A 26,595-nucleotide genomic window follows, 5' to 3' on the forward strand; every position below is an offset into this window, starting at 1 on the left:
GTTGCCCAGGCTGGAGAGCAGTGGCACAATCTCAGCTCACTGCAACCTCCGCCTCCCGTGTTCAAGCGATTCTCCTGCCTCAGTCTCTCGAGTAGCTGGGATTACAGGTGCCCACCACCAGGTCCGGCTAATTTTTGTATTTTTAGTAGAGACAGGGTTTCACCATGTTGGCCAGGCTGGTCTTGAACTCCTGACCTCAGGTGATCCACCCGCCTCGGCCTCCCAAAGTGCTGGGATTACAGGTGTGAGCCACTGTGCCCGGCCATGATATGAAATAACTTATAAGGAAGATTGGTAGAGCCTGCCAGACAGAATTTACCTTTAATCCATCGAAAGTTAAATCTGTCCAGTTGTTGACCAAAACAAAATGGACATGAGGCATTGTTTAGAGACTGGTCAGAAAAGGGAGAGAGAAAGTGCCTTTCAGTCATACAGAATACACGTTTGGGAGACTCCCATTGGTTTAAAATGGATCCTAAACGTGAATCAAGATCCTGCTTATGGGCTGGGCACGGTGGCTCACGCCTGTAATCCCAACACTTTGGGAGCCTGAGGCGGGCAGATCATGAGGTCAGGAGATCAAGACCATCTTGGTGAACATGGTGAAACCCCGTCTCTACCAAAAATACAAAAATTAGCTGGGCATAATGGCGCGTGCCTGTAATCCCAGCTACTTAGGAGGCTGAGGCAGGAGAATCGCTTGAACCAGGGAGTCAGAGGTTGCAGTGAGCTGAGATCGCACCACTGCATTCCAGCCTGGGCAACAAGAGCGAAACTCTGTCTCAAAAAAAAAAAAAAAAAAAAAAAAAAAAAAGATCCTACTTACAGCTGTCTTCTGTGGGCCCTCTGCCCTCTGCAGCCCTTCCCGTAATTATTCACTTGTGAGCAGGCCTGCTAGGTTAGGGAGGGCTGGGTCATAGGAATGTGATGGCCTCATCTCATGCCTTTTTTTGTTCCTCTTAAGCAGTCGCAGCCAGCCCGCCAGCCCTGGTGCTCGGCCTGTTCTGAAGTGAGTTGCGCACCTGCCCTCATTTCTCTCCGCAGTTGGGCATCTTTGGTCTTGAACAGCTCAGGAAAGTCCGAGCTGACACTCAGGTTCTTACTCCTTAGATGAGATCCAGTGTGCAGCGTTCTTCCTAGTTGTGAAAAATCATTGTCATCTCTAATATTAAAGGAAATGATAACTAGAAGATGTCGCTGTTATGACAACATCTTGACATTGAAAGAGATTTTATATGGTCACTTGGTTCAACAATTAGTCCATGTGTCCCTTGCTGGACTTCTCCTGGTGCTTGGGAACCACAGCCTGTGCTGTCTTCAGACAGAATTAATTCCTAGAAGTTCTTCCTTATCTTAAACCTATGTGGTGCCTTTTCCCTGGCACCCACTAGTCCTTGCTGTGACCTCTGCAATTATACAAATGAAGTCTCCTTTCTTATCATGTAAGTCCCTCCTTCACATTCCCTGTGTGAATGTGGTATTAAGTGCTTTTACCAACTTGATCACTCTGCTTCATTACAGAATTTTTAAAGATGCCACACTTTCCACTGGGTTGACCATTCTAGAATGGTGTGATCAGAATGGTCATCGCCTTGGACTGGACTTTTAACATGTATTGGCACCTGCCAAATATTTGTGTTATTAGTCACATCTGTTTTTAAGAGACAGCGCTCCTGAAAGACAGATGGAGTCATAGATCTGCTTTTCCAACGCTTTCTTAAAGCATTTCTAGGAAAGTAGTAATTCCACTTTATTCGACTTGGTGGAGAAGCTCATGCCACTTGTTTTGGAGGCAGAGTTGATTTCTGAGGTTGCCTTTCACAGAGCCGAGAAGGGATCTTAGAGTTCATTTTATTAGTCATATTTTACAGGTGACAAAATGAAGTCTAGAGAGGTTTAACAATGTTTGCCCGAAGCCACACACTGGTAAGTGACTAAGCCCCAAGCTAATGCTGGGCCCCAGGTACAGGAGCCCACCTCGCCACTGCTTCCTTGTGTCTGGTTCTGCCTCGGGAACTGGCCTAGGAACAGACTCCCTGCCACCCGCCGCAGCCACAGACGTTTTCACGATTCTTTTTTGTATTTTCCAAGTCTTCTACAGTGATCCATTACTTTTATAATCAGAAAACAATCAACTGGCACAGACAAGGTGGCTCACACCTGTAATTCCAGCACTTTGGGAGTCCCAGGTGGGCGGATTATTTGAGGTTGGGAGTTTGAGACCAGCCTGGACAACATGTCAAAAACCCATCTCTACTAAAAATACAAAACTTAGCTGGGTGTGGGTGGCGTATGCCTGTAATCCCTTCTTCTCGGGAGGCTGAGGCAGGAGAATCGCTTAACACAGGCAGACGTTGCAGTGAGCTGAGATTGCACTACTGCACTCCAGCCTGGGCGACAGAGTGAGGCATCAACTCAAAAAAAAAAACAAAAAAGAAAAGAAAGCAATCAATTGGCCAGATATGGTGACTCAAGCCTGTAATGCCAGCGCTTTGGGAGGCTGAGGCAGGAGGATCACTTGAAGCCAGGAGTTTGAGACCAGGCGGGGCATAAAAGCGAGACCCTGTCTCTATTAAAGAAAAAAAAAGTGCTTGCTTTGGCAGCACATATGCTAAAATTGGAAGGATACACAGAAGATTAGCATGGCCCCTGCGCAAGAACGACACGCAAATTCATGAAGCGTTCCATATTTTTATCTGCCAGCCATCACCACCCGATTTTGATTGTATCCTTCCTCCCATCCTTTAATCTGTTCACTGCTTTGTCTGGGGGAGCTGGGGTCGTTGGCTCAGACGTTGGCGTTTGTTCTTTGATGGATGAACGAACACTCCAGTTTTCTTTCCCGTGGAGGTTGTTTCAGCCACAAACCACTTCATTTTGCTGTTTCAATTTCAAAATAAAATGAAACATATTGAAAAAAAAGAAAGAAAAGAAATCAATCAATCAAACAAACAAACAAAACCCAGTAGTTTTGAAAAACACACCTCACTCATACCAAGGCCAGCCCCTAAAGTCCCTGGGTCTGTTCTCTGAACCTCTAGGTCAGGGAAACTGCTGTTCCATATCTCCTGACTCCTTAAAATTCAGTGACTCAAAGATCCCATTTTGGTCAGAAGTTGAACAACAATAAAACCTTTTCCTATCCTGTCGGCCACATTCACGAACTCCCGGGCTCCCACGCGGTTTATTTTTAAGACGCTGGTTTAAATTTCTCGAGTTACGGGGGGAAGGGGTTGCGGTGGGAGCGAGACTGAGAACCACAGCGCGAACAGGGGCGCATTGGTACCAGGATCGGTACAGGGATGTCTCCAGTTCCTATAGACTCTAGCCTCGGGGGGAGTCTGTCCAGACTACAAGTGTCTGTGCCCCTGTTTTATTTTGAGACAAGTCGGGGTCGCTCAATGAGTCAGCACAGAGGAGGCAGTGGGGGAGACAGACAGCGGCTGGGACGCGCGGGACTGGGGCGCGCCTTGCGCGCTGGGCACCGGAGCTGCGCACGGGCGGCCCGGGGCGGGGGCCCCAGAGAGCCCGGGAGGGCGTGGACTCGGCCGGGGAGGGGCGGGCTCGGGCGCGTCTGGGTTGGAGCTGGATGATGTAAAACAGCGCGGAGCTCCTTGGCGCCTCGGCACCATTACCTTCAATTATCATAATTGGTGCCTCTCTCCAGCGTTTGCATTTCCCCCGAGGGATCTCTCACTAGTTCCCGTTCCTTCTCCTCGCCCTCTCTCGCTCACTCGCTCTCGGCTCCCGATCGCTCTCCCAGCCTCGCCCTCCCCTCAGTATCGATCTTTTTGGATGTTCTCCCTGCCTAAAACGGATGCTAATATCTCTTCGATTGAACCGAAATGGCGCTGCGGCTGCTACTTTTCCATTGTCAATAGAAACTTAGAGGGACCCGGGGATCAGCATTTATCTTATACTTAAACTAATTTCTCTAAGTACTTTTCTACTTGTAGTCCAAAGAACCGGGAATTAGTAACGATGTGTGGAACCTGGAGTACATTTTCCCGAAACTTCCCGATCTGTCAATAGGAAGGTTAATCTTCCTGGACACCCCCGTCTCCCTCCTCCCACTCTCTTCGCTGGAGTCGTGCTGGCTGATGGGAACGAAAAGATTTCAGATCTGAAAAGGCTTTGATTGTACCTTGAGACATCACCTTGACAAAAATATAAAAACATAGGCTCTTCTCTCTGCACTGTCTGCGTCTTTCAGGGGCTGGACTTCACCTGTCTCCAGAAAAACTGCGGATCTTCAGGTATGACTTGAAGGATTAGGAAAGAGAGAAGTACCAGTGCCCCTTCCCATCATTCCTACAGATCTTTGTTAACATTAGGCAGTCACCTAAAAAAAAAAAAAGGCAGGTGGATTAGAAGCATTTTGAGGGCAGGAGCCGTTTCAGAAATCTCTTGATCACCCCTAAAAAAAAGGACAGCTCATGAGTACAGTTCATGGCAAGTGTATCCATAATTAGTCAGGATTTTCTTGGGAAATGCTTCCGTTTGAAAGTGAATAAGCAACATCAGACTTCTTCGAAAAATGCCATTGGATAGGAGATGGGTTATCTCAAGGTGTCACGTTGCAGGGTGGAAGAGTTGTGTTTTCCAGCAGACTAGAGGCACGAGTTATGGTTCCATGAGAGCAGCTAAGTTTCTTGCGTAATGATAAGTTAGGCGACCAATTTGTCTCAGCTGATTCTTGGACTATCACCAGTCATGGGAGCAAACGTTTGTTGGCAAGATTCCGCGTTTTTAGAGAGATACCACCACCCTGCCCAGGCTGCAGTCTGACTTGGCAGTAACATTATTTGCACTTCAAATCTTCAGCTCCAGGGAGGAGAAAATCCTGAAACCACCTGGGAAGTCCTGAAGCCATCATAAATACATTCAGATATTACAAATTTTTTCCTTAGACCGATTTCTAAGGAAAATTGGTCACCATTTCTATAGAGATTCACAGTTAACAAAACTTACACGAAGACCTCAAGTTGTACTAGTAGCAATCTCTGGAGCAGGCAGGCTACCAAACACTCTTGTTCTCATTTTATGGGCAAGAAAACTGAGTACCAAGGGGCCAATTGATTGGCTCATAAAAACTCATTGAGTATACTGGGCGTGGAGGTTCATGCCTGTGATCCCAGCACTTTGGGAGGCTGAGGCAGGCGAATCACTTGAGGCCAGGAGTTCGAGACCAGCCTGGCCAAAACGGTGAAACCCTGCCTCTATCAAAAATACAAAAGTTATCCAGGCATGGTGGCAAACATCTGTAATCCTAGCCACTCAGGAGGGTGAGGCACGAGAATTGCTTGAACCTGGGAGGTGGAGGCTGCAGTGAGCTCGCTCCACTGCACTTCAGCCTGGGCAATGGAGCAAGACTCTATCTCAAAAATAATAATAATAATAATAATAATAATAAAATAAACAACCAGCTTGGGCAACATGGCGAGACCCTGTCTCTACAAAATATTTAAAAATTAGCAGGGTGCGGTGGCATGCACCTGTAGTCCTAGCTACTGGGGAGTCTGAGGTGAGGGGATCACTTGAGCCATGGTGGTGGAGGCTGCAGTGAGCTGAGATTGTGCCAGTGCACTCCAGCCTGGGTGACAGAGCCAGGCCGTCTCAAAAAACACACAAACAAAACATTGAGTAATGGAGTGTGGATACAAATGCAGGACTTCAGTTTCTTACTTTAGTGTTACTTTTTCCTTGCTCTGTTACCCAGGCTGGAGTGCAGTGGTGCGATCTCGGCTTGCTGCAGCCTCCCCATCTCTGGCTCAAGGGATTCTCCAGCCTCAGCCTCCTGAGTAGCTGGGATTACAGGCATGCACCACCACACCCAGCTAATTTTTGTATTTTTAGTAGAGATGGGGTTTTACCGCGTTGCCTAGGGTGGTCTTGAGCTCCTGGATTCAAGTGATCCACCCTCCTTGGCCTCCCAAAGTGCTGGGATTATAGGTGTGAACCACCTTGCGAGGCCCAGGGAACTCTTTTTATATACTCCTGTCATTTAATGAGGAACAACTAAGTGGTATGGGGTGGAGCCAAGTGGATGGACCTCCAAGGAAACAAGTGACTACTTTGACCCTTTGGCTGTAATATTGATGGATTTTGCTCATGTATTCCATACAGACTGGCAAGCAATGCCATTGCTCATAGACATTGCATCATGGGCATCTTGCCTGCTCTTCCCCCCGCCACTATATGTGGAAAATGCCAGGTTGACTATTCACTCCAAATACTCACCTTTCTCAAGAAACTAATAAAAAGCTCTGCTCGTTGCCATGGCCCCACTAAGAAGACAAGATGTTCAAGATTGTTGTATATTAAAAATAATCCACGAGTTCAAAATGGTCCTGGACTCTGGAAAGTCTTGTACTCTGCAAGGTTCTGAGTCTTCAGTCTGTTTAAAATGGGCTGTCTTCAAATGGCTACATTAAGTTATTTTAGATGATAGCAAACACTCAAGTGATAAAGTCACACAGAAGTAATAATTTGAAGGAATGATTTTTTTTTTTTTTGAGACAGAGTCTCACTCTGTTGTCCAGGCTGGAGTGCAGTGGCGCAATCTTGGCTCACAGTAACCTCCGCCTCCTGGAGATTCTCCTGCTTCAGCCTCCCCAGTAGCTGGGATTACAGGCATGTGCCACGATGCTCGGCTAATTTTTATATTTTTAGTAGAGATGGGGTTTCACCATATTGGCCAGGTTGTTCTCAAACTCCTGACCTCAAGTTATCCATCTGCCTCAGCTTCTCAAAGTGCTGGGATTACAGGCATGAACCACCGTGCCTGGCTTGGAGGAATGATCTTAATTCCACTCACTAATCACTTCTCAGCCTTTTGGCTAAGGTCAAAATTCACTCACTAATATATTTCTTTTCTTTTGAGATGGTCTCTCTCTGTTGCCCAGGCTGAAGTGTGGTGGTGTGATCTTAGTTCACTGCAGCCTGGAACGCCTGGGCTCCAGTAATCCTCCTACTTTAGCCTCCCAAGTAGCTGAGACTACAGGCATCTGCTACCGGGCTTGCTGGTCTCAAACTCCTGAACTCATGTGATCCTCCCACCTCAGCCTCCCAAAGTGCTAGAATTACAGGTGTGAGCCTCTGAGCCTGGCCTACTTTATTTTGCTTTATAGGTGAATTAACTTTATATAATATGACATGCTTTATGGTGCCAGCCTGCCCATATCTCTTTCTGTGTGTTCTTTCTGGCTCACACCCTTGCTGAGAGCAGTACCCAGGTTTTATATTAGCCAGAACCCTATCCAAGCCCAAGAGATCACAGACTGAGTATTTGGGGATGGTGTCTCCGTAAGCTGAACAAATGACTGTGATAGTTTGCAGTAGTGATAGAAGGTGAAACCATCTCTTGGGTAGTATCTCTCTGTATAGGGGACTCATGCTTGGACAAAAAAAAAATAAAAGCAGAAATTATGAGAGTAAAAACTACAAATAAGGAGAGGATGACAGCCCACTGGCAAAGAGGTGAGAAGCAAAGACAACCCTGAGAAAAAGAGGCCCAAGTCTCTGGCTTCTGGCTCCAGGAAGGTTGGCTCCCCGAGCTGATAAGCGGTGCTTGTCAATGACCAGTTAGTAGTAACCATACCATAAGCCTATTTTGTCCATACCACAAACCCCTCCTAAATTAATCTTTAGTGTGTCTCTCTTCCTTTTAATTAAGCAAGTTGACTAACGATGTACTATAAATGTTTTATTTTTATTTATTTATTTATTTATTTGCTATTATGTTCTGGCCACTGTCATTGTTTTTATTTCATAATAATTCCTGAGAAAATAACTAACTATATAGTATTTGTTTTATCATTTACAAAGTATCAAGACACACATTATATTTGATGTGTGAGTTCAAGCCATGAAATAAAATGCCAGCCAAACGTGCATATCTTCAAATATTTAATGCATTTTAACGAGATTTATGGACACAGGTTATGAAGAGAGTACACCCTAAGTGAGGTCATCAATGAACAGAATTCTTGTTCTTATCCTTGGTATTAAGGGAAGAACTTCTGATGCGCTTTTCTCAGATTGTATAATCTTCCTTTGTTCTATCTGGTCACCTAACAAATAAGCTCCTATTCTGCTATGAATCCCTTAAACACAAATAACTCTCTGATAAGATAGTCAAGCTCACACCTGTAATCCCAGCTACTTGGGAGGCTAAGGTGGGAGGGTCACTCGAGGCTAGAAGTTTGGGACCAGCCTGGGCAACATAAGGAGACTCTGTCTCAACAAAAAGTATAGAAATTAGCCCCATGCAGTGGGGAGCACCTTAGCTACTTGGGAGGCTGGGGCCAGTGGTTCGAGGCTACAGTGAGCTATGATTGCAGCGCTGTACTCCAGCCTGAGTAACAGAGGGAGGCCTTCGTCTCTAAAAAAGCAAAAAAAAGCAAGTAACTCTCTACTCTCCCATTCACAATTTAGTGCCATTTAGTTACATGTTTAGCCTATAATTTCAAAGACATCATTTAAAATCTTTAAAACATCTATACGGCCAGCATGGTGGCTCACACCTATAATCCCAGCACTTTTGGAGGCTCAGGCAGGAGGATTGCTTGAGCCCAGGAATTCTGAGACCAGCCTCAGTAACATAGGGAGACCACCATCTCTACAAAAAAATTAAAAAATTAGTCGGGCATGGTGGCTCGCGCCTATATATATACATATATATCTCCCATGGATAAATTATATCTTGAATGCTGTTTGAAGGTAATAAAAAACTATTCTACTGTTTAACGGTTTCAGTTAGGTCTAGAATCAGTTTTCTGTTCTTGGGTATAGAGAGCTTGTTCCTAGGTATTTTCGGAATCCCTTTGTAGATGTAAAAAGAATTTTGGTCGTTGATTTCATTTCTTGCTTTAAACTTCAAAAGGACAGTAGATTGTACTATTTTTTTTCCCTCTACTTATCAACCTACATGTAGGAAAGTAATAACTGAATTATGTGCAAAGCATAAGTAAAATTCTCTAGAGAAGCAATTTTCCTTAAGAATGTTAAATTGAATTAAAATTGTTGCCTATTCTCTCAACTATTGATATGGCCTTATGATTGACACATTATCCCTAAACTGATTTTGATATTCTACATTGATTCAAACACTCTGATTCATTTAGTTGAAAAGTCCATGTCTTCCCCAGAACCATTAGATAAAGTGCGGACTTGTTTCTCTTTAATTTCTGGTCATTTAGAAAGTTTGCCCATTAATAATAAAAACAAAATAGTTGAAATCATTGTCTAAAAAATGGATCCCAAGTTCTTATTCAGAATTGGACTTGGAACAAAAAAATATATACAACCTGGAGTGCTCAAAGTCAACATTAATTCAATAAAATACAAATATCTTAGTTTGGTTTCTTTGGGTTGCAAGGAAAAGAACCTTAAGTAAAAAGGGGACTTTATTAAGGTTACTGAATTAACCTAAGGACAAGAAGTGACGCTGAGTGCCTGGAAATCCATTTGGATTTATGTATTTGCCACTTTGCATATCTTCATTATTTTTCTTCCTCTGCAGACAGGTGGACTACAGCTGCCCCAAAGCAAAATTTTTATGTCTCCCGTGAAATGACCTCAAGGGACTGAGCAGCATGTCTGCTCAAAGACACAGAAGAGAGAATCTAACTGACCTAACCTGGGTCATGTGACTAGCTATGGCCAGAGATTAGGAGATCAGAGTCTCCTAATCAGGTTGCCAACGCCCACTCCGGGAAAAGGGACATTCTCTGACTTGGGCTGGGAGACACTCAGAAAGTGTCTACTAGAATGCAACTTTCACCAACACATTCCCCAGACCTCTTCCATTAAATATTTATCTGTATCAAAGGGAAGTATAGTTCATTTCTGATACGTCTCTGTTCACTTCTTCACATTTTATGCTGCAATCACAAAGACTTGCTTGTCATCCCAACTACCTGTTCGCTGCTTACCACTCCTACTCACCTACACAATCATATTTCATGCCTAAGTCCTGTGGTCCTCTGTGCTTGTAATGGTCTTCTTCCAATCCTTAATGTCATTGCTTCTAGACTTTACCGGCTCTCTTTACCTTCCTAGACTAGTTAACCTCTTTCTTTTAGGCATTGTAACATCATGCACATAAATCTCCATTATTGTCCAGCTCCATTGTTTTGAGATTTACTATCTAGTTTCTGACATCTTTATACCCCCAGACATTGCAAGCCTCGCCTACGGTGGGAGGCCAGGTTGAACTAACATACCCTGAAAGTTTCCTTTTAGCTAATAATTGACTCTAAAAGAGAGTGTAATCATTACATAAAAAGTATTGTCCTCTGGGCGCGGTGGCTCACGCCTGTAAATCCCAGCACTTTGGGAGGCCGAGGCGGGCGGATCACGAGGTCGGAAGTTCGAGAGCAGCCTGACCAACATGGCGAAACCTCGTCTCTATAAAAATACAGAAATTAGCCAGGCGTGGAGACAGGTGCCTGTAATCCCAGCTACTCAGGAGGCTGAGGCAGGAGAATGGCTTGAACCCGGGAGGCGGAAGGTTGCAGTGAGCCGAGATCGCGCCACTGTACTCCAGCCTGGGCGACAGTGCCAGACTCGTCTCAAAAAAAAAAAAAAAAAAAAAAAAAGTCTTGTCTGCATAAAACCCTTACAATTGTTAACTTGTCAAGGTTCTAGTAGCCAGGAAGTTCTAATCAAACTCGGCCCCAGGACTGCCTTGTCAGCACGCCCCTTGAGAAACTTTTCTGAGAAACCTGCTGTTTACCTGGTGCCCTAACCAGTTTAATTTTCTTTTAAAACTTCTACTGGATTTCTCCTTCTCTCCTTTTAGATGCAATTTTGATCTAGAGAAGTAATGGTCTGAGCATCAGTTTATGAAATTATTTTATTTTTCTGCACATAAACATTATTTTTCAAAGACAATTTCATTAACTACATCCTGCAGCTCTGCAGACTTTCAACAACTTTAAAAGGTTAGGCGTTTGAGATATGTTCGCCTTGACTTTCAGTCCTCAAGACATATGTACATTTTTCTTAGTCTCAAAGCTCATGTCTGCACTCTAGTCCTAAAGGATTTGTCTTTATAATTCTCACCTTAGCATGAAATGTGCTTCTCTTTCTTTCCTTCCCCACCCCCCACCCCCTTTTGACATATCCGGTAGGGAAGCTCTGGCAGATTCTCAAGAAGAATTTTGCAAATGGTCGACTTTTGTTCATCTCAGGTTTTGGAGGGAGAGGATAAAAGAACATTCCCTCAGATAATGAGTTTTAACCTTAATTCCTTCCAAAGCGGAGGGGGAAACAAAACTACAGCAAGACCACCTTGAGTACCTTGGGAAGGGCAGCCCCGCGATCCCTAATAAATGAATTAGCATCTCAAGGAGGAGATCACTGCGGGGCTGATATTGATCAGGGTCAGCCGGCGTGTTTGCCAGCCATTGTTTGGGGGGTGGTTAATTGAGTGTCAGTCTCGGCCAGTGTCGTCTCGTTGGCGCCGGGTGCTTTTGGATTTGCTAATTTTCGTTAAGTGTCTCTAGCCCGCTACTCGTCCCGCGTACCCGGGAGAACCTAGCGGCTCCTAACGGATCAACAGTCAGTCTGTCTGGGCTTTATTGATCCCATGGCGGGCAGCTCGAGGCGGACACGCTGAGGGGGTGGGGGGCGAAGGCTGAATGCAGACCCCAGCGCTGGGCCGCCTCCCCCGGGCTCCCACCCGAACCCTCCTCCGCCACCTGCACAGGCCGGGGCATTGTCACTCGCCCCTGGGGGTTCCAGAAAACGCAGTGCGGCCGGGGAGGACGACCACACGGACCCCCTGCGTGTTTCGGGGGGCACCCAAAAGAAGCCCCGCGCTGGGGAACGCTGACCACCCGAGGCTGAGCCGTCAGGGTCTCGGAGGCGGGTTCCCGAGCCGGTCCCGGGGCTGGGCTCCCCCGGCGCCTCGCGAAGGTCACTGACGCGCAGGCCTCCGCAAGGGGGAGCGCGGGAGACGGCAGCGCACCAGCCGGGCGCCCCAGCCGGGCGCCCCAGACGCCGGCGCCGCTCGGAGCCGCCGGGCAGGTCCCCCAGCGCTCGCGTCTGGGCCCGCCCCCCGCTGCGGGGCGGATTGACAGGAGCCCGGCGGCCAATCGGACGCCGTGGGGCGGGGCGAGGCGGGGCGGTGCAGGCCGGCTCCCGGCGCGGGGCGCTATTTACGGCGCGGAGCCGGAGAGACCTGGGCTGGCGCGGGCGGGAGCTGCGGCGGATACCCTTGCGTGCTGTGGAGACCCTACTCTCTTCGCTGAGAACGGCCGCTAGCGGGGACTGAAGGCCGGGAGCCCACTCCCGACCCGGGGCTAGCGTGCGTCCCTAGAGTCGAGCGGGGCAAGGGAGCCAGTGGCCGCCGACGGGGGACCGGGAAACTTTTCTGGGCTCCTGGGCGCGCCCTGTAGCCGCGCTCCATGCTCCGGCAGCGGCCCGAAACCCAGCCCCGCCGCTGACGGCGCCCGCCGCTCCGGGCAGGGCCCATGCCCTGCGCGCTCCGGGGGTCGTAGGCTGCCGCCGAGCCGGGGCTCCGGAAGCCGGCGGGGGCGCCGCGGCCGTGCGGGGCGTCAATGGATCGCCACTCCAGCTACATCTTCATCTGGCTGCAGCTGGAGCTCTGCGCCATGGCCGTGCTGCTCACCAAAGGTGGGTGCCGGGGGCGCACGGGGCCCGGGGTCCCGTCCTCGCCGCGGGGCTTTGGAGCCGGCTGCAGAGGCTTTGTTAGCGGCAGGCGAGGCTCCCTCCTGCGCCGGAGCCGCAGGTCGCGACAAGTTGCTGTGTTCTTAGAAGTCGCGGCGGTGGCCTGGCGCGTGGATGCGGACTCCGATCTAAGGGCAGGCGCTGATCAGAGGGTCCTCCTGGCTCTGCCTGCGGGGAGCGGCGCGTTTGCAGCCCAGCGGGGAGCGGGGCCGGAGTCTCGGCCTCGACGCCGCCGCTTCCGCACCCTGGGGGCTCGGGCGGCCGGGAGGAATCGCAGATCCTGGCCTGTAGCTGCCGCGTGCCCTCAGCGTGTCTGTGTGAGTGCCTCAGGGTGTATTTCTGTGAGTGTGTCTCTGAGTCTCAGTATCCCTAAATGCATTTTTGTGTCTCTGAGTGTCGTTGTGTTTCTGAAAGTGTGTCTGAACCTCTGTATCACTCAGCGTATCTCTGTGTCTCTTTGAATGTATCTCTGAATGCATTTCTGTGTCTCTTTCTGAGTCTTTGTGTCTCTGAATGTGTGAGTCTCTGTATCTCTGATCTTGAGTGTGTCTTTCTGAATGCATTTCTGTGTCTGTCTCTAAGTGTCTTTGTATCTCTGAATGTGCATCTGAGTCTCTGTGTGAGTGTGTCTCTGCGTACATCTCTCTGTGTGCGAGCGAGTGTGTGGGTCTCCCTGAGAGTTTAGGTGTCCGAGGTGTGCAGAAGTGTGTGTTGTGTTGCTTTTCAGCAGCCGGGAGGAGTAGGCTCTGTCAGCGTCTCACTGCCACTCACCTCATATTTTACAAACAGGACCAAAAAAAAAAAAAAGGCAGCGGGTCAGTTTCTTCTTTCCTCTGCAGGCTTTCACCTTTTAGAAAGAAATAACCCGAACTGTCTCCGAATTTCAAGGTTCTCCTCACCTCCCTGCTGTGAAATCTACCTACTGTTCTGTGAACAGATAATTTTTTTAAGTAGGAAGCAGTTTAGTCTTTGCAGCCCCCTACTTCTCTTTAATTGCTATGTAGCAGGCATGAGGTTAAAGCATAAGCTAGCCCAGCGAGGATGATGTGCTACAGTATTTATTTATTTTGGAAGGAAGGGTGTAATTAACCCTAAATAACAGCCCTTGTGGCTTGCAGAGGGGAGCCTCCTGGCCCTATCAAAGGCGGGCAGAACAGGGAGGGACTGAGGCTGACATGAAGTCACAGATACCGAAACTATGTGCCTGATAATGATATAATTAGGGGATCAGAGATTTCTGACGGCTGCGGACTTCAAAAGCTTTAAAAGAAGCCAGCAGTCTCTCCTGTAGCCATCTTGACTAAAGCAGACATTTTTGTTTAATCACTACATACAGTAACGAGAAGGGGACAGAAACAGAAGGGCATTGTTCCACAGTTTCAAAATACCAGTCCCCTTTCTGGCCTTTTGCATGCCACAGGAAGAAACTTTATGAACGACAGAAATATAGTTTTAATACAGTGGTACAAAAGTCCATTCTCCTTGCTTAAAATGTGGCTCCAATTAAAAAAAAAAGGTAGTTAGAACTTTCCCAGTTACCTGTCAAAATTTTATTAGGCTGTTTTTAGGTCATTGAAAATAGGCTCTCATAAACATTTAAGCAGCATTTTACTTGTATTCAGTCTTCCTTTTCTGTACAAGGTCTGAAGCTAATAGGGTCAAAATGGGCTTTTAATCTGTTTTATTTATACTTTAAATCTATATATGGAATTTGTCAAACTAGGGATATGTAGTCATCACCCCAGAAGACTGGTGAGCTTTATGTGGAAAATAAAGTGAGCTTGGAGGGAGGAGGAGAAAGAGCAGAGAAGTGGTTCTGCAAAGCAAGGTTCTTACTTGAAGCAGAGAAGGAACTTGGGCCCAACCAGTGCAGATTTAGGAGCAAGACCCCTAGCTTTGGACTGTTAAGGGTTGCCAAAGATCTGTGTTTAGCGGGCTGGTTTTCCTTAGAACCGAAGCATTAGCAGCGTCCGGTGAAAACTGAGCATACAATACCGTGGTCTGGAATTTGGACAGATAATTAAATGAGACACCTTACTGGGGCGTTCAGAGAGAGGGGGAAGAATAAAGGTAAGGGTGGGAAGAGGTTTGTAAAACAGCAGATCCCGGTGTTTAATTTCAGAGTGGAGGTTTCGGATCTTCAGACGGGAAACTGGAAGAGGCGTGTGCATTAGTTTAGTTTACTCGCTGTGGCATGTGACAGCGACCAGGGTCCACTAGGTGGATATTGTATTAGTGAGAACTTGAAGACCCAGATTATTTCAACGAGAAACTGATATTAAAGCCTCCAATCTTGCCCTGCGACAAAATGTGAACGGAGCCATGCAACTCACAAAATAAGTTTTTATAAAGGAAACTTTTAATCACTTCCTGTAGAAAATTTGAGGTTTCCTTAAGGATTTTTCATTCAACCAGCAGAGGATTTTCAGTTTCAGTGTTTCCCCTTTTAGATCACATGTCGAATTACATGTAAAACTTGTGAGGAGGAGGAGGAGAAGTTAGCCTTGCAGTTTTATACTCCCCCCACCTTTTATGACTTTCCATTTGGGCTGAAAGAAATTGACTTTGGCAAGCAAACCACTAATTGTAAACTGCCTAGTTCCTGTTTTACAATATACTGACTAAAAGCTCCTCTGCATGAAAAGATCTTTATAGGCAAAAAGTTTGCCTTTTCTAGAGAGGTTGCAAATAGCTGCCTAGTTTCATAGTTTTAAAACCTCCTGACCTGGGCAGTTTCTAGATTGTTGTGTTTCTAGTTAATAACTTTATAAGGTGTTAGCTAAAGCTCTTAACTCTTGGTGCAGTCCTGTGGGATAGTAAACAATTCAGTAGTTCCGATCAAATATTTATACTGACAAAATCAAAAAGCCTAACATTTTTATGTTGTATGGTCATGTAGGATTAAAATGAATAAATAATGTGTTATACCTTATGGTAGGAGAAATTATACTCATTACTATTTCCTTCAAAAAGCAAAAGTTTTTTTAAAATGACTCTAAACTCCTCAGAAACCTGCTATTGGGATTACTACATTGCCAAAATGACGTTTAACTGGATTGAAACTTACGCACTGGCTGCAGGAAGGGCTTCTCCAGGCTCTGTAGACTGGAGCCCTCAGCTTGGATGATCTAAAAGTTCATGCCTTTGAATTTGGGATTTAGCAGTTGCCTAAATAGTTGCTTTATCTGGTCTCTGGAGCAGAGTTTGAGGTGGTTTCTCATTGTTTTCAGGTGAAATTCGATGCTACTGTGATGCTGCCCACTGTGTAGCCACTGGTTATATGTGTAAATCTGAGCTCAGCGCCTGCTTCTCTAGACTTCTTGATCCTCAGAACTCAAATTCCCCACTCACCCATGGCTGCCTGGACTCTCTTGCAAGCACGACAGACATCTGCCAAGCCAAACAGGCCCGAAACCACTCTGGCACCACCATACCCACATTGGAATGCTGTCATGAAGACATGTGCAATTACAGAGGGCTGCACGATGTTCTCTCTCCTCCCAGGGGTGAGGCCTCAGGTAGGTGGAAGCCGTTTCTAACCAGAATGCCTGCCTGATCTATAGACTTGTGACAGCCACGACTTTGTATGTCTGCTATTGATTTTGTTGTTAATGTAATTAGAGACACCAGAGGGAGAAGCCTGGCTGGATGCAAAGATGCATCTTGATTGAGTGGCTTTTATGTCTGAGCATTAGATGTCTGTCTACATAATAGGTTTTGCCTGTTTTTTCAACATTTTGAAGACATTAAAAGGCCATTACATCTCAGTAATGACAGTCTGTAAACAAATGCGTTTGTAAGCTTCTTCAGATAGTTTTGCAATGTTTTCTAAATATCGTTGATTTAATTGTAAGCTTCTTTTTAATGGAATTCTTGGTTAAAATGAATTGATGATTATGAATATCCCTAGGAGGAGTTAGCATGGAGTTTGATCATTTTCTTTGTACTCCTTTAGGACAAGGAAACAGGTATCAGCATGATGGTAGCAGAAACCTTATCACCAAGGTGCAGGAGCTGACTTCTTCCAAAGAGTTGTGGTTCCGGGCAGCGGTCATTGCCGTGCCCATTGCTGGAGGGCTGATTTTAGTGTTGCTTATTATGTTGGCCCTGAGGATGCTTCGAAGTGAAAATAAGAGGCTGCAGGATCAGCGGCAACAGATGCTCTCCCGTTTGCACTACAGCTTTCACGGACACCATTCCAAAAAGGGGCAGGTTGCAAAGTTAGACTTGGAATGCATGGTGCCGGTCAGTGGGCACGAGAACTGCTGTCTGACCTGTGATAAAATGAGACAAGCAGACCTCAGCAACGATAAGATCCTCTCGCTTGTTCACTGGGGCATGTACAGTGGGCACGGGAAGCTGGAATTCGTATGACGGAGTCTTATCTGAACTACACTTACTGAACAGCTTGAAGGCCTTTTGAGTTCTGCTGGACAGGAGCACTTTATCTGAAGACAAACTCATTTAATCATCTTTGAGAGACAAAATGACCTCTGCAAACAGAATCTTGGATATTTCTTCTGAAGGATTATTTGCACAGACTTAAATACAGTTAAATGTGTTATTTGCTTTTAAAATTATAAAAAGCAAAGAGAAGACTTTGTACACACTGTCACCAGGGTTATTTGCATCCAAGGGAGCTGGAATTGAGTACCTAAATAAACAAAAATGTGCCCTATGTAAGCTTCTACATCTTGATTTATTGTAAAGATTTAAAAGAAATATATATATTTTGTCTGAAATTTAATAGTGTCTTTCATAAATTTAACTGGGAAACGTGAGACAGTACATGTTAATTATACAAATGGCCATTTGCTGTTAATAATTTGTTCTCAACTCTAGGATGTGGCTTGGTTTTTTTTTTTCTCTTTTCTTTTTTAAACAAGACCAAGATCTTGCTTATTCTTCCATGTGCCTGTGTAATTTTCTTACAGTGTGGAGTTTCTAAATGTATACTGACCATCTTTTAGTGTCTTACCCACATTCTGGCTATAGGATAACTCTGGTTTTAGCTTTCATCTAAGAAGGAGATCTGGAATTTATGTGTACCAGGTCAGATATGATTGATCAATTTCTGGAGTTGACCTAGCAAAGGTCATTTTGATCCAGGTGTTCCGGAATACCTTTTCCAATGTGTATACCTCCACCCAAAAAAGAAAAAAAAACCAACTAAACAACTGTTTTTTTGTTCAAGTCAGTCACTGTCTCCTTTTACTGTTGATTAATTGGCCAGTTTATTTTGTCCTAAGCCAAATTAAGTATTTTGGCTCCCCAATTAGCCAAACCTTACTGTACAACACACTTAATTTTAAACCTTGTGCTTCAACAGTGTGATGCTTTTTTTTTTTTTAATACTTAGAAAGCTTTTCTGTAGTGAACACGATACACCAATTGATTTAAATAACTGCTACTAGGTTTCATCCTCCCAAATGATCCTTTATGTAACCAAATAGAACATTGGCTTTAGCCAGTAACTAATACAGCTAGGAAACAATGTTTCCTCTTATAAGACTTTTTGTCCTGATAACATTGCCCATCCTGAATTTAAACGTATGCTTTATTTGTGTACTTCCCGTGCCCCCAGTGGATCTTTCTTATTTTAAATGTGAGAATATTATGCCATGGAGGGTATCTTCTGAATTCCTTTGTATATGTGAAATTTTTGCTTAAAAGTTAACCCGTAGGCCGGGCGCGGTGGCTCACACCTGTAATCCTAGCACTTTGGGAGGCCGAGGCAGGTGGATCACAAGGTAAGGAGTTCAAGACCAGCCTGGCCAACATAGTGAAACCCTGTCTCTACTAAAAATGCAAAAATTAGCTGGGCGTGGTGGCGTGCATCTGTAGTCCCAGCTACTCGGGAGGCTGAGGCAGGAGAATTGCTTGAACCCAGGAGGCAGAGGTTGTAAGCTGAGATTGTGCCACTGCACTCCAGCCTGGGCAACAGAGGGAGACTCCATCTCAAAAAAAAAAAATTACAGCCTGCATATTCGAGTATGGGGTTTTCTTTTATTAATATTAATAGACCACCTGCCCCAAAAAACTAAGCTGTGGAATAAACACATATTAATAAATGATAGCATTCGTACTGTCCCTTTTAAGATGAGCAGCTCTTGCATGCATGCCTTATATTTTATAAAAGATGTTAAGCTTTATGTATGTCAGTTTTTGAGGAAGCCAAAGAATTGTTGAACCCAACCCTTCAAACCTGTCAAGGGAATTGATCAAAGTTGTCTGTTGGTGAAATTTCCACCCTCACCTCCACCTCTGGCTCTTTGAGTCTCACTCTGTCGCCCGGGCTGGAGTCCGGTGGCGCCATATGTATCACTACAACCTCCACCCCACTCGCCACACACCACACGTGGTGCACACCACCCTGCCCCCTGCCCCGCCGCGGGTTCAAGCGATTCTCCTGCCTCAGCCTCTGAAGCAGCTGGGATTACAGCCACCCACCACCATGCCTGGCTAATTTCTGTATTTTTAGTAGAGACAGGGTTTTCACCATGTTGGCCAGGCTGGTCCCAAACTCCTGACCTCAAGTGATCCTCCTGCCTCAGCCTCCTAAAGTGCTGGGATTAAGGTGTGAGCCACTCTGCCCAACCCCACTCTGGCTCTTGATCACATTATAGTAGATTGTAGTTTAGAGATGAAAGGACTTCTTGCTCCTTGTACATTCTCATTTCATGTACGACATTATGCAAGCTCAGCAATTCTTCAAGTGGCCAGTTTTTATATCTGTTACGTAGTCAGAGTTTCTTTTCTCTGCTTGCCCTGATGAGGGCCGGTTCACCTCATTTTTTCCAAGTACAGGTTAACCAGGAACTCTGCAATTCTTTAGGAAATAAAACAATGAAGGATTTAAAGTCATGTGCTTTGAAACACTTTGAAATCAGTGAACCCCTTCCTCCCAGAGAGGCCTATGTCTGGACTGGTGTTACCACAAACTTCATGGAGGATGCATGCAGCCTCTCCACTTGATCTTGGGCCTTTGTTCTTCCTATTGTATATTCACGAGGCTATTTACAGCTCCCTGTACTGTGGGGAGGTGGCACTGTGCCCATGGCCTCTCAGTTTTCTGGGGCTCCGCTTCTAGCCACATAATAGGCCAGCCCTGCCTCTTTTCCTAAAAAAATCCTCTCTCTTGATATTCATTTAGTTTTTACACGTGTCCTCACCACCAATCTGAAAGTCAGATCCGCCTTCTTATGAAAATACTGCAGGCACCTCAACTTTGGATGTAACTAAGAACTACATATAGATTTTACTTTTGCTTCCCTGTGAGAGTGCAGAAGTTGCCAGGAGCCAGAGATTAAGGACTAAGATAAGGTCCAGGGTCTACCTGATTCAGTGATGTCAGAAGTGGTGGTGACTGGTTTATTTGTTTTTCCGTCTTAGAGATGTTTACTGTTACTCTGAGGTGTCACAAGGCCAGGCTAACCAGGAACAACCCTTGCTTAATATTGTCATAGAACTCCCCCCAAAAGGAATTTTCCTTTCTGAGTGGAAATTTGCCCAAACTAGAGACATGGGACCAAATTTGCCAAGATGATTTTCTATCTACAACTCCTTACATTCTACCACTGTTGAAAAAATTGATCTGTGCATGGTTATGTCTTTTATGTTATTTTTTTTTCCTTTTATTTTGAATGGCTTAGAGGCTTCCTAGAAATTGACTGGTGTGTCTCTAATTTCTGCTGAACTGATTTTATTAAAAACACTACACCGTAGGGGGTTTGACCTTATAAAATACCAAACATGTCTGCTTTAGAAAATCACAAAGCTTTCCTCTGAAGAGCTCATAAATCTGGTTTCAATATGGGTTGATTATAGGCTAAAAGCTTGAAAGCAGTGGCATCTAGTATCATGACTAGGGAACTGGCTCTTTTGGGGCCGGGATAGCTTTTTTTTTCCCTTACAGCCTCTAATTGGTCCTCTTCTCTGCCTCTCAGCTCAAATGTCTTTAAACCTCCACAGCTGTGCGAACTTCGGCAAATTATGTAAGCTCTTTGAATATTCACTTTTGTTGCCTGTGGTTGCCTGTGGAATGGGGGCCGTAGTAACACCTTGTAGGATTATTGTGAAGAGACATTGTAGCTATTTTCATTCATATACACAACATTCTTGCATAAACTGTGCCCACATAATATTCCTTAAAATCTGAGAACTTGTGCCCATTATTTGTACCGTACATTAATATTGCTTTTTAATATTTAAGATCTTTGCATACTTGAGACTTGCCAGTCACCTGCAGACTGGATATGGCATTTTAAATATTCATTTTCAATTTATTATTTTTGGCCTCTCATGCCTATTAAATAGGTTCATTTGTAATTGTTTCCTTCTGGAATAATACAGATGGCTACTGATGAGAATGTTTTAATCATATAAACTTACTTGAGTTTCTAGTATTTGATAGAATGAAGTTCCCTTGGAGTTTCAGCTGCTCCGAATGGTCAAACCATTGAGAAAATCAATGGATTTGATAGGTAGCAGATAATGTGTCCATATTGTTTGCGTGGCTTATGTCTGATTGGTTCATTCTCAACAATTGATTCTCAATGCCACAATCGATTACAGCCTGCCCCACGGGTGCTCCCAACAAAATACAAATACTTCTAGAACTAGTTTTTAGAACTTTGTGAATTTGGAAGTGGAGGAGTGAGTTAAAAATCATTTAATTACCCTGGATGAAATTAATTTAGTTACTCTGTGGGTCACAGTTATAATAGAAAAATTAAATGCTCCAGATACCAACATTTATAATAGAAAAATTAAATGCTCCAGATACCAACATTTATAATAGAAAAATTGACTGCTCCAGATCCCAACTGACTCCCCTTCCCTCTACCCAATTCATCCTGTCAATATGACTCTATCTGCTGCCTCAAAAAAAGCAGATCATTGATTTTTTTGGGGAATTAGAGATCCCATAGAATGACGAAATTCAACTCTCAAATTTTGGCAACTCTTTATTTGGAGTACATTTTACACTCTGAACATGTCCTTGTTAATCTGCTAACACTGCACTGTTTTGCAGCGTGGTGGTGTAATTCATTTGTCTGCCATTCCAGGAATTTGAGGATAGAATCAGGAAGGTGGCAGAGCTGAGATTAACCAGTTGGGGATTTACTTCTTCCAGCAAGGCAGCAATTTTCCAAGGGATGTGCTTTTTTAGAATTTCAGAGTATTTATTGCTAGGGAAGACCTATCAGCCAAACTTCTGCAAACTTTTCCCATTCTTTGAATATGAAAAGGGTAACAGGAAAGGCATTGATAAGCAATCTGGGGAGATAACTTGGGTAAGCAGTGAGATAATATCTCAAGGCATTTGTCATTCCTCAAGACTTTTAGGAAATTCATTCTATCTAGGAGCTAATGGCCCGCTGACCTCTCAGGGGCAATTTCAAATGGTGTTTAGCTCCCTGTATCTTGCAGATTAGATTGATGTTGGACTAAATCTGAATAGAACTCAGGAAAGATCAGCTGAAAACTATGCATGCTGTGTGTGTGTGTGTGTGTGTGTGTGTATGCCATGCTAATTGAATAGACTTCGTAATCCTGGAATAACTTTACATTTAACAATTTTCAAGGCATTGCATAAGTACATTTGGAACTTGCAAGAAGTCAGCAATTTGTTTTTAGACACATGAAGACTAAGTTGTGATGAATTAATAAACTCAGAGGCTGTTGTGTCAATTCACTCTGAAAGATCTCACATTACAAACCTAATGGAACAAAAATTGTTTTAGCAGTTAAAACCAAGAGAAATACAAAAAGCTCTTTATCCCCGGTTTCTTCCCCTTGGAATTTCCCTAGGGAACCGATGAGGACAGTGGAAAAACACCACACTTCTCAAAGCAAGTTTCTTACTTTTTAAGTGTTACAAGTTCACGGTGGAGTGTTTTTTTCCCCCTAAATTTAGTGGATGTGGTTTTGATACCATAGCTTTAATTCACAGTTGCCTTGGTAAATGAGGGCCTTTCTCACCTGGATTTGGGGATTAAACTGTGAACTCCCCGTGGGCAGGAGCTGTGATCAATAACCTTTGTACATTTCCAAAATCCAAAGGAGAGAATTAGATGAAGGACAGATTAAGACCTTTTGTTTTCAGGCACCTGTTTCTGGTTTTTAGTAAATAAATGTTGTCTTTCTCTTTCATTTCTCTATCCTAACTGATTGCTTTACAGATTTATAATTTTTGTCTGGAGAGCCTAAAGGAAAACAAATTGCTAGTGAAGGAAGTTGAGAAAAAATTCCAATGGGCCTGAACATTAACGAAACATTGCTAAGGTCAAATATCTGAGTCTACCTTTTATATTTGGTGCAGGCTCTAAGCTCATTTAAGGACTAATTCTCACCCAGAAGTGTATCACTATTCTCCTTTGAACTAAGAGTTGTACTTTCATTTTAGTATTTAAAGATAATCCAAAATTTCCACCATTGTCTCTCCAAGGAGTTAAGAACAAGCCACTGAGAGTTTTGTTGATCAAAAATGTTGAGAACCTGGAATACGCTACCTGATTTAGTATTTCATCCTCAATGGCTTGACAGGCCCTGCTATACCAGGGCAACTTTGGCAAATTCTCTTTTCTTCTCATGGAAATGAACCTCTGCCCAGAAGCTGTAATAAAAGCAACAAATAGCTCCCTGCCTCTTTCATTCAAGGACACACCAAGTTATAAATTCCCTTCCCTTCACAAACACTTAGCGTCTTCATGAAAAGTTTACCTTTAACTTCAAAATCCAAATAGCTCTTGTGCATCCATTGCAGTTTTATAATTCACACTTTTATATTTTTCTTTTTTTTTTTTTTTTTTTTGAGACGGAGTTTCGCTCTTGTTGCCCATGCTGGAGTGCAATGGTGCGATCTCGGCTCACTGCAACCTCTGCCTCCCAGGTTTGAACGATTATCCTGCCTCAAACTCCTGAGGAGCTGGGATTACAGGCATGTGCCACCATGCCCGGCTAATTTTGTATTTTTAGTAGAGACGGGGTTTCTCCCTGTTGGTCAGGTTGGTCCCGAACTCCTGATCTCAGGTGATTCACCTGCCTTGGCCTCTCAAAGTGCTGAGATTACAGGCATGAGCCCGGCCTATATTTATTTATTTTATCACATTATTATATAGTGTTCTTTTACAAAAATTACTTATTTTCGTAAGCCCAGCCTGTAGGTCAGGCTGGAGTGCAGTGGTGGGATCATAGCTCACTGCAGCCTTGAACTCCTGGACTCAGTGATCCTCCTGCTTCAGCCTCCGAGTAGCTGGGACTACAGGCACATGCCACCACGCCTGGCCTTATCTCATTTTTTTGGTAGAGGGAGTCTCCAGGCTGGTCTCAAACTCCTGGGTTCAAACAATCCTCCCGCCTCAGCCTCCTGAGTAACTGGGACCACAGCTGTGCACCACCATGCCCAGCTAATTAAAAAAAATTTTTTTTGTAGAGGTGAGGCTCTCACTTTGCTGTCCGCACTGGTCTCAAACTCCTGGCCTCAAGTGAACCTCCCTCCAGAGCCTCCCAAAGTGCAAAGATAAATTTTGAAAAAAGAATGTATATGTTGGGCAGGGGTGGCAGGAGCGGAAGAGAAGGGGAGGTCATTCTTGACTTCACAATCCTTATACACTATTTTTTCTAGTGTCCTGTGTTCCTTTTATTTATTTATTTATCTTAAAATATTATACATATCTTTATATTTTCTGAGTCCTGGCTCAAACCAGTATCAACCTGCTTCCTGCTTTTTTCTTTAATGTGTTAGATTTTAAAAAATTGATACACGATCGATATACATAATTTGGGGGCACATGTGATAATTTAATACATTCATGTAATTTGTACAGATCAAAGCAGTATAGCTGGGTATCTATCACTTTAAATATTTGTCTTTGTTGTATACTAGAAACATCTGGATTATTCTCTTCTAGTTATTTTGAAATATGTAATAGATTATTGTAAACTATAGTCACCCCACTGATCTGTCAAACACTAGGTCTTATTTTTTTTTTCTGTCAAACTATCTATTGGTACCTACTAACCAAGCTCTCTTCATCCCCCTCCAGTGGTGCTTACTAAAAATTGAATAAACGTGGAAAAGAGAAAATCTCCCTCTTTAAAAGGAACACTGTTGTGGACATTTTAAAATGCAAACGCCTTGGCTGGAAGTCAGAAATCGTGTTCTCTCTGCTAAACCTGGTGTAGCATTTAACACGCTTGAAGTGGAGGCATCTGGTCACCAATTTCACAGCCTGGACAGAGCAAGAAGGTGCGGCTGGTTTAGGAGGCGGCCTGCCGGGGGGGATCGTCTGTCCATCTGGGCTTGGTAAATGTCAAGGGTCATTTCCCTGTCCTGACATTTGATTGTGAAGCAGGTTGCGAGGTAACTCTTTCAAGGGACTGGACTGTGACAGTCACCATAGTTGGACAATAAAACCCGAACATCCTTCACCATCTTCTTTAACAATGGGAGGTTGTTTGTTGGCTTTGTATGCAAATTGGCGTGAGTAGCTAACAGGTTGCTTTGAAATCCTCAATTTGTTTACCCCAACCTGGGAAGCCTGACCTTTTCTTCAGAGGCAGATTTATGGAGCTATTTTTCATGGCTCTCAGCAATGAATTGGGTTCAGCAGGGTCCCTAGGATTTTCATTAACTCAAGTAGGCTTCAGAAGCAGAAGAGCTCTGCTGGTTCCCTGGACTAACACAGACAGTGGTGACCACGTCCTGCAGTTCCTCTAGGGCTCTGCTGGCTAGTCACAGCAAACTGCTGTGACATGCCATGTTTGCTGGCATGTGACAGCAAACAACTGCTAGGGGGAAAAAGAAAACCCTTTCTTCAGAATATCCATACACAAATACCTCATCTGGAGAAAAATACATTGGCCATTTTTTTTTTTGGTCTTCCCGTTTCTTCTGGGAAGTCACACCTTTGCACCTGGCCTAAAGAAGAACCTGCCCTTTTTTCTGAAGCTTTTTCTGAAAGTGCTTATCCTAATTTTTTTTTCTTTTTTGAGACAGGATCTCCCTCTATCGCCCAGGCTGGAGTGCAGTGATGGGATCTTGACTCACTGCAGCCTCAACCTTCCAGGCTCAAGCAGTCCTCCCACCTCACTCTTATGAGTAGCTGGGAATACAGGTGCACACCACCACACTCAGGTAATTTAAAAAAAATTTTTGTAGAGACGGGGAGTCTCACTATGTTGCCCAGGTTGATCTCGAATTCCTGGGCTCAAGTGATCCTTCCACCTTGGCCTCCCAATGTGCTGGGATTATAGGTGTGTGCCACCACACCCAGCCCACATCCTAATGTTTTTATAAGCCTGCATAGCTGTGATATGGTTTGGCTCTATGTCCCCTCCCAAATCTCATGTCAAATTGTAATCCCCACCTGTCAGCGAGGGACCTGGTAGAAAGTGATTATATCATGGGACTGGATTTCCCCCTTGCTGTTCTCATGATAGTGAGTGAGTTCTCACGAGATCTGGTTATTTAAAAGTGTGTGGCACCTCTCCCTCTCTCTCCCTCCCTCCGCCTCCCTCCCCCTCCCTCCCCCTCCCTCCCTCTCCCTCCCTCTCCCTATCTAAAAGTGTGTGGCACCTCTCTCTCTCTCTCCCTCCCGCCTCTCTCCCTCCCCCTCCCTCTCTCCTTCCCTCCCTCCCTCTCCCTCTTCCCCTCTCTCCTTCTTTCCCTCTCTCTCCCCCCTCCATCCCCCCTCTCCACTCCCTCTCTCCCTCTCTCCCTCCCTCTGTCTCTGTCTTTCTGTCTCTCTATCTCTCTCTCTCTCCTGCCACCATGAGAAGAAAGTGCTTGCTTCCCCTTCACCGTCTGCCATGATCGTAAGTTTCCTGAGGCCTCCCAGCCATGCTTCCTGTTAAGCCTGTGGAACTGAGTCAATTAAACCTCTTTTCTTCATA

General features: G+C 44.8%; 1 protein-coding gene and 1 pseudogene across 1 annotated transcript, besides 4 other annotated features; both read left to right on the forward strand.

Annotated features, from left to right (window-relative positions):
* On the forward strand, positions 2,588 to 2,694 carry RNU6-1067P (RNA, U6 small nuclear 1067, pseudogene; annotated as a pseudogene).
* Positions 3,409 to 3,910: an enhancer, noted in NCBI's record as "NANOG hESC enhancer chr10:28957669-28958170 (GRCh37/hg19 assembly coordinates)". NCBI's record gives its function as "activates a minimal SCP1, AML or CMV promoter by ChIP-STARR-seq in primed H9 embryonic stem cells {active_cell/tissue: H9 hESC(primed)}" and the evidence as "EXISTENCE:reporter gene assay evidence [ECO:0000049][PMID:30033119]".
* Positions 11,658 to 12,217: a silencer, noted in NCBI's record as "silent region_2257". NCBI's record gives its function as "represses an Ori minimal core promoter by ATAC-STARR-seq in GM12878 lymphoblastoid cells {active_cell/tissue: GM12878}" and the evidence as "EXISTENCE:reporter gene assay evidence [ECO:0000049][PMID:35858748]".
* On the forward strand, positions 12,190 to 17,601 carry BAMBI (BMP and activin membrane bound inhibitor). Its single transcript, NM_012342.3, has 3 exons — positions 12,190 to 12,642; positions 15,927 to 16,214; positions 16,652 to 17,601. The coding sequence occupies exons 1-3, from the start codon at positions 12,567 to 12,569 to the stop codon at positions 17,068 to 17,070; spliced, it is 783 nt and encodes a 260-aa protein (NP_036474.1). The 5' UTR covers positions 12,190 to 12,566; the 3' UTR covers positions 17,071 to 17,601.
* Positions 12,943 to 13,087: a silencer, noted in NCBI's record as "fragment chr10:28967203-28967347 (GRCh37/hg19 assembly coordinates)". NCBI's record gives its function as "represses an EF-1alpha promoter that drives an FKBP-Casp9 reporter gene in an ReSE screen in HepG2 liver carcinoma cells {active_cell/tissue: HepG2}" and the evidence as "EXISTENCE:reporter gene assay evidence [ECO:0000049][PMID:32094911]".
* Positions 18,544 to 19,452: an enhancer, noted in NCBI's record as "H3K4me1 hESC enhancer chr10:28972804-28973712 (GRCh37/hg19 assembly coordinates)". NCBI's record gives its function as "activates a minimal SCP1, AML or CMV promoter by ChIP-STARR-seq in naive H9 embryonic stem cells {active_cell/tissue: H9 hESC(naive)}" and the evidence as "EXISTENCE:reporter gene assay evidence [ECO:0000049][PMID:30033119]".

The sequence above is a fragment of the Homo sapiens genome, chromosome 10, assembly GCF_000001405.40.
Source record: "Homo sapiens chromosome 10, GRCh38.p14 Primary Assembly".
Classification (NCBI taxonomy): Eukaryota; Metazoa; Chordata; class Mammalia; order Primates; family Hominidae; genus Homo; species Homo sapiens.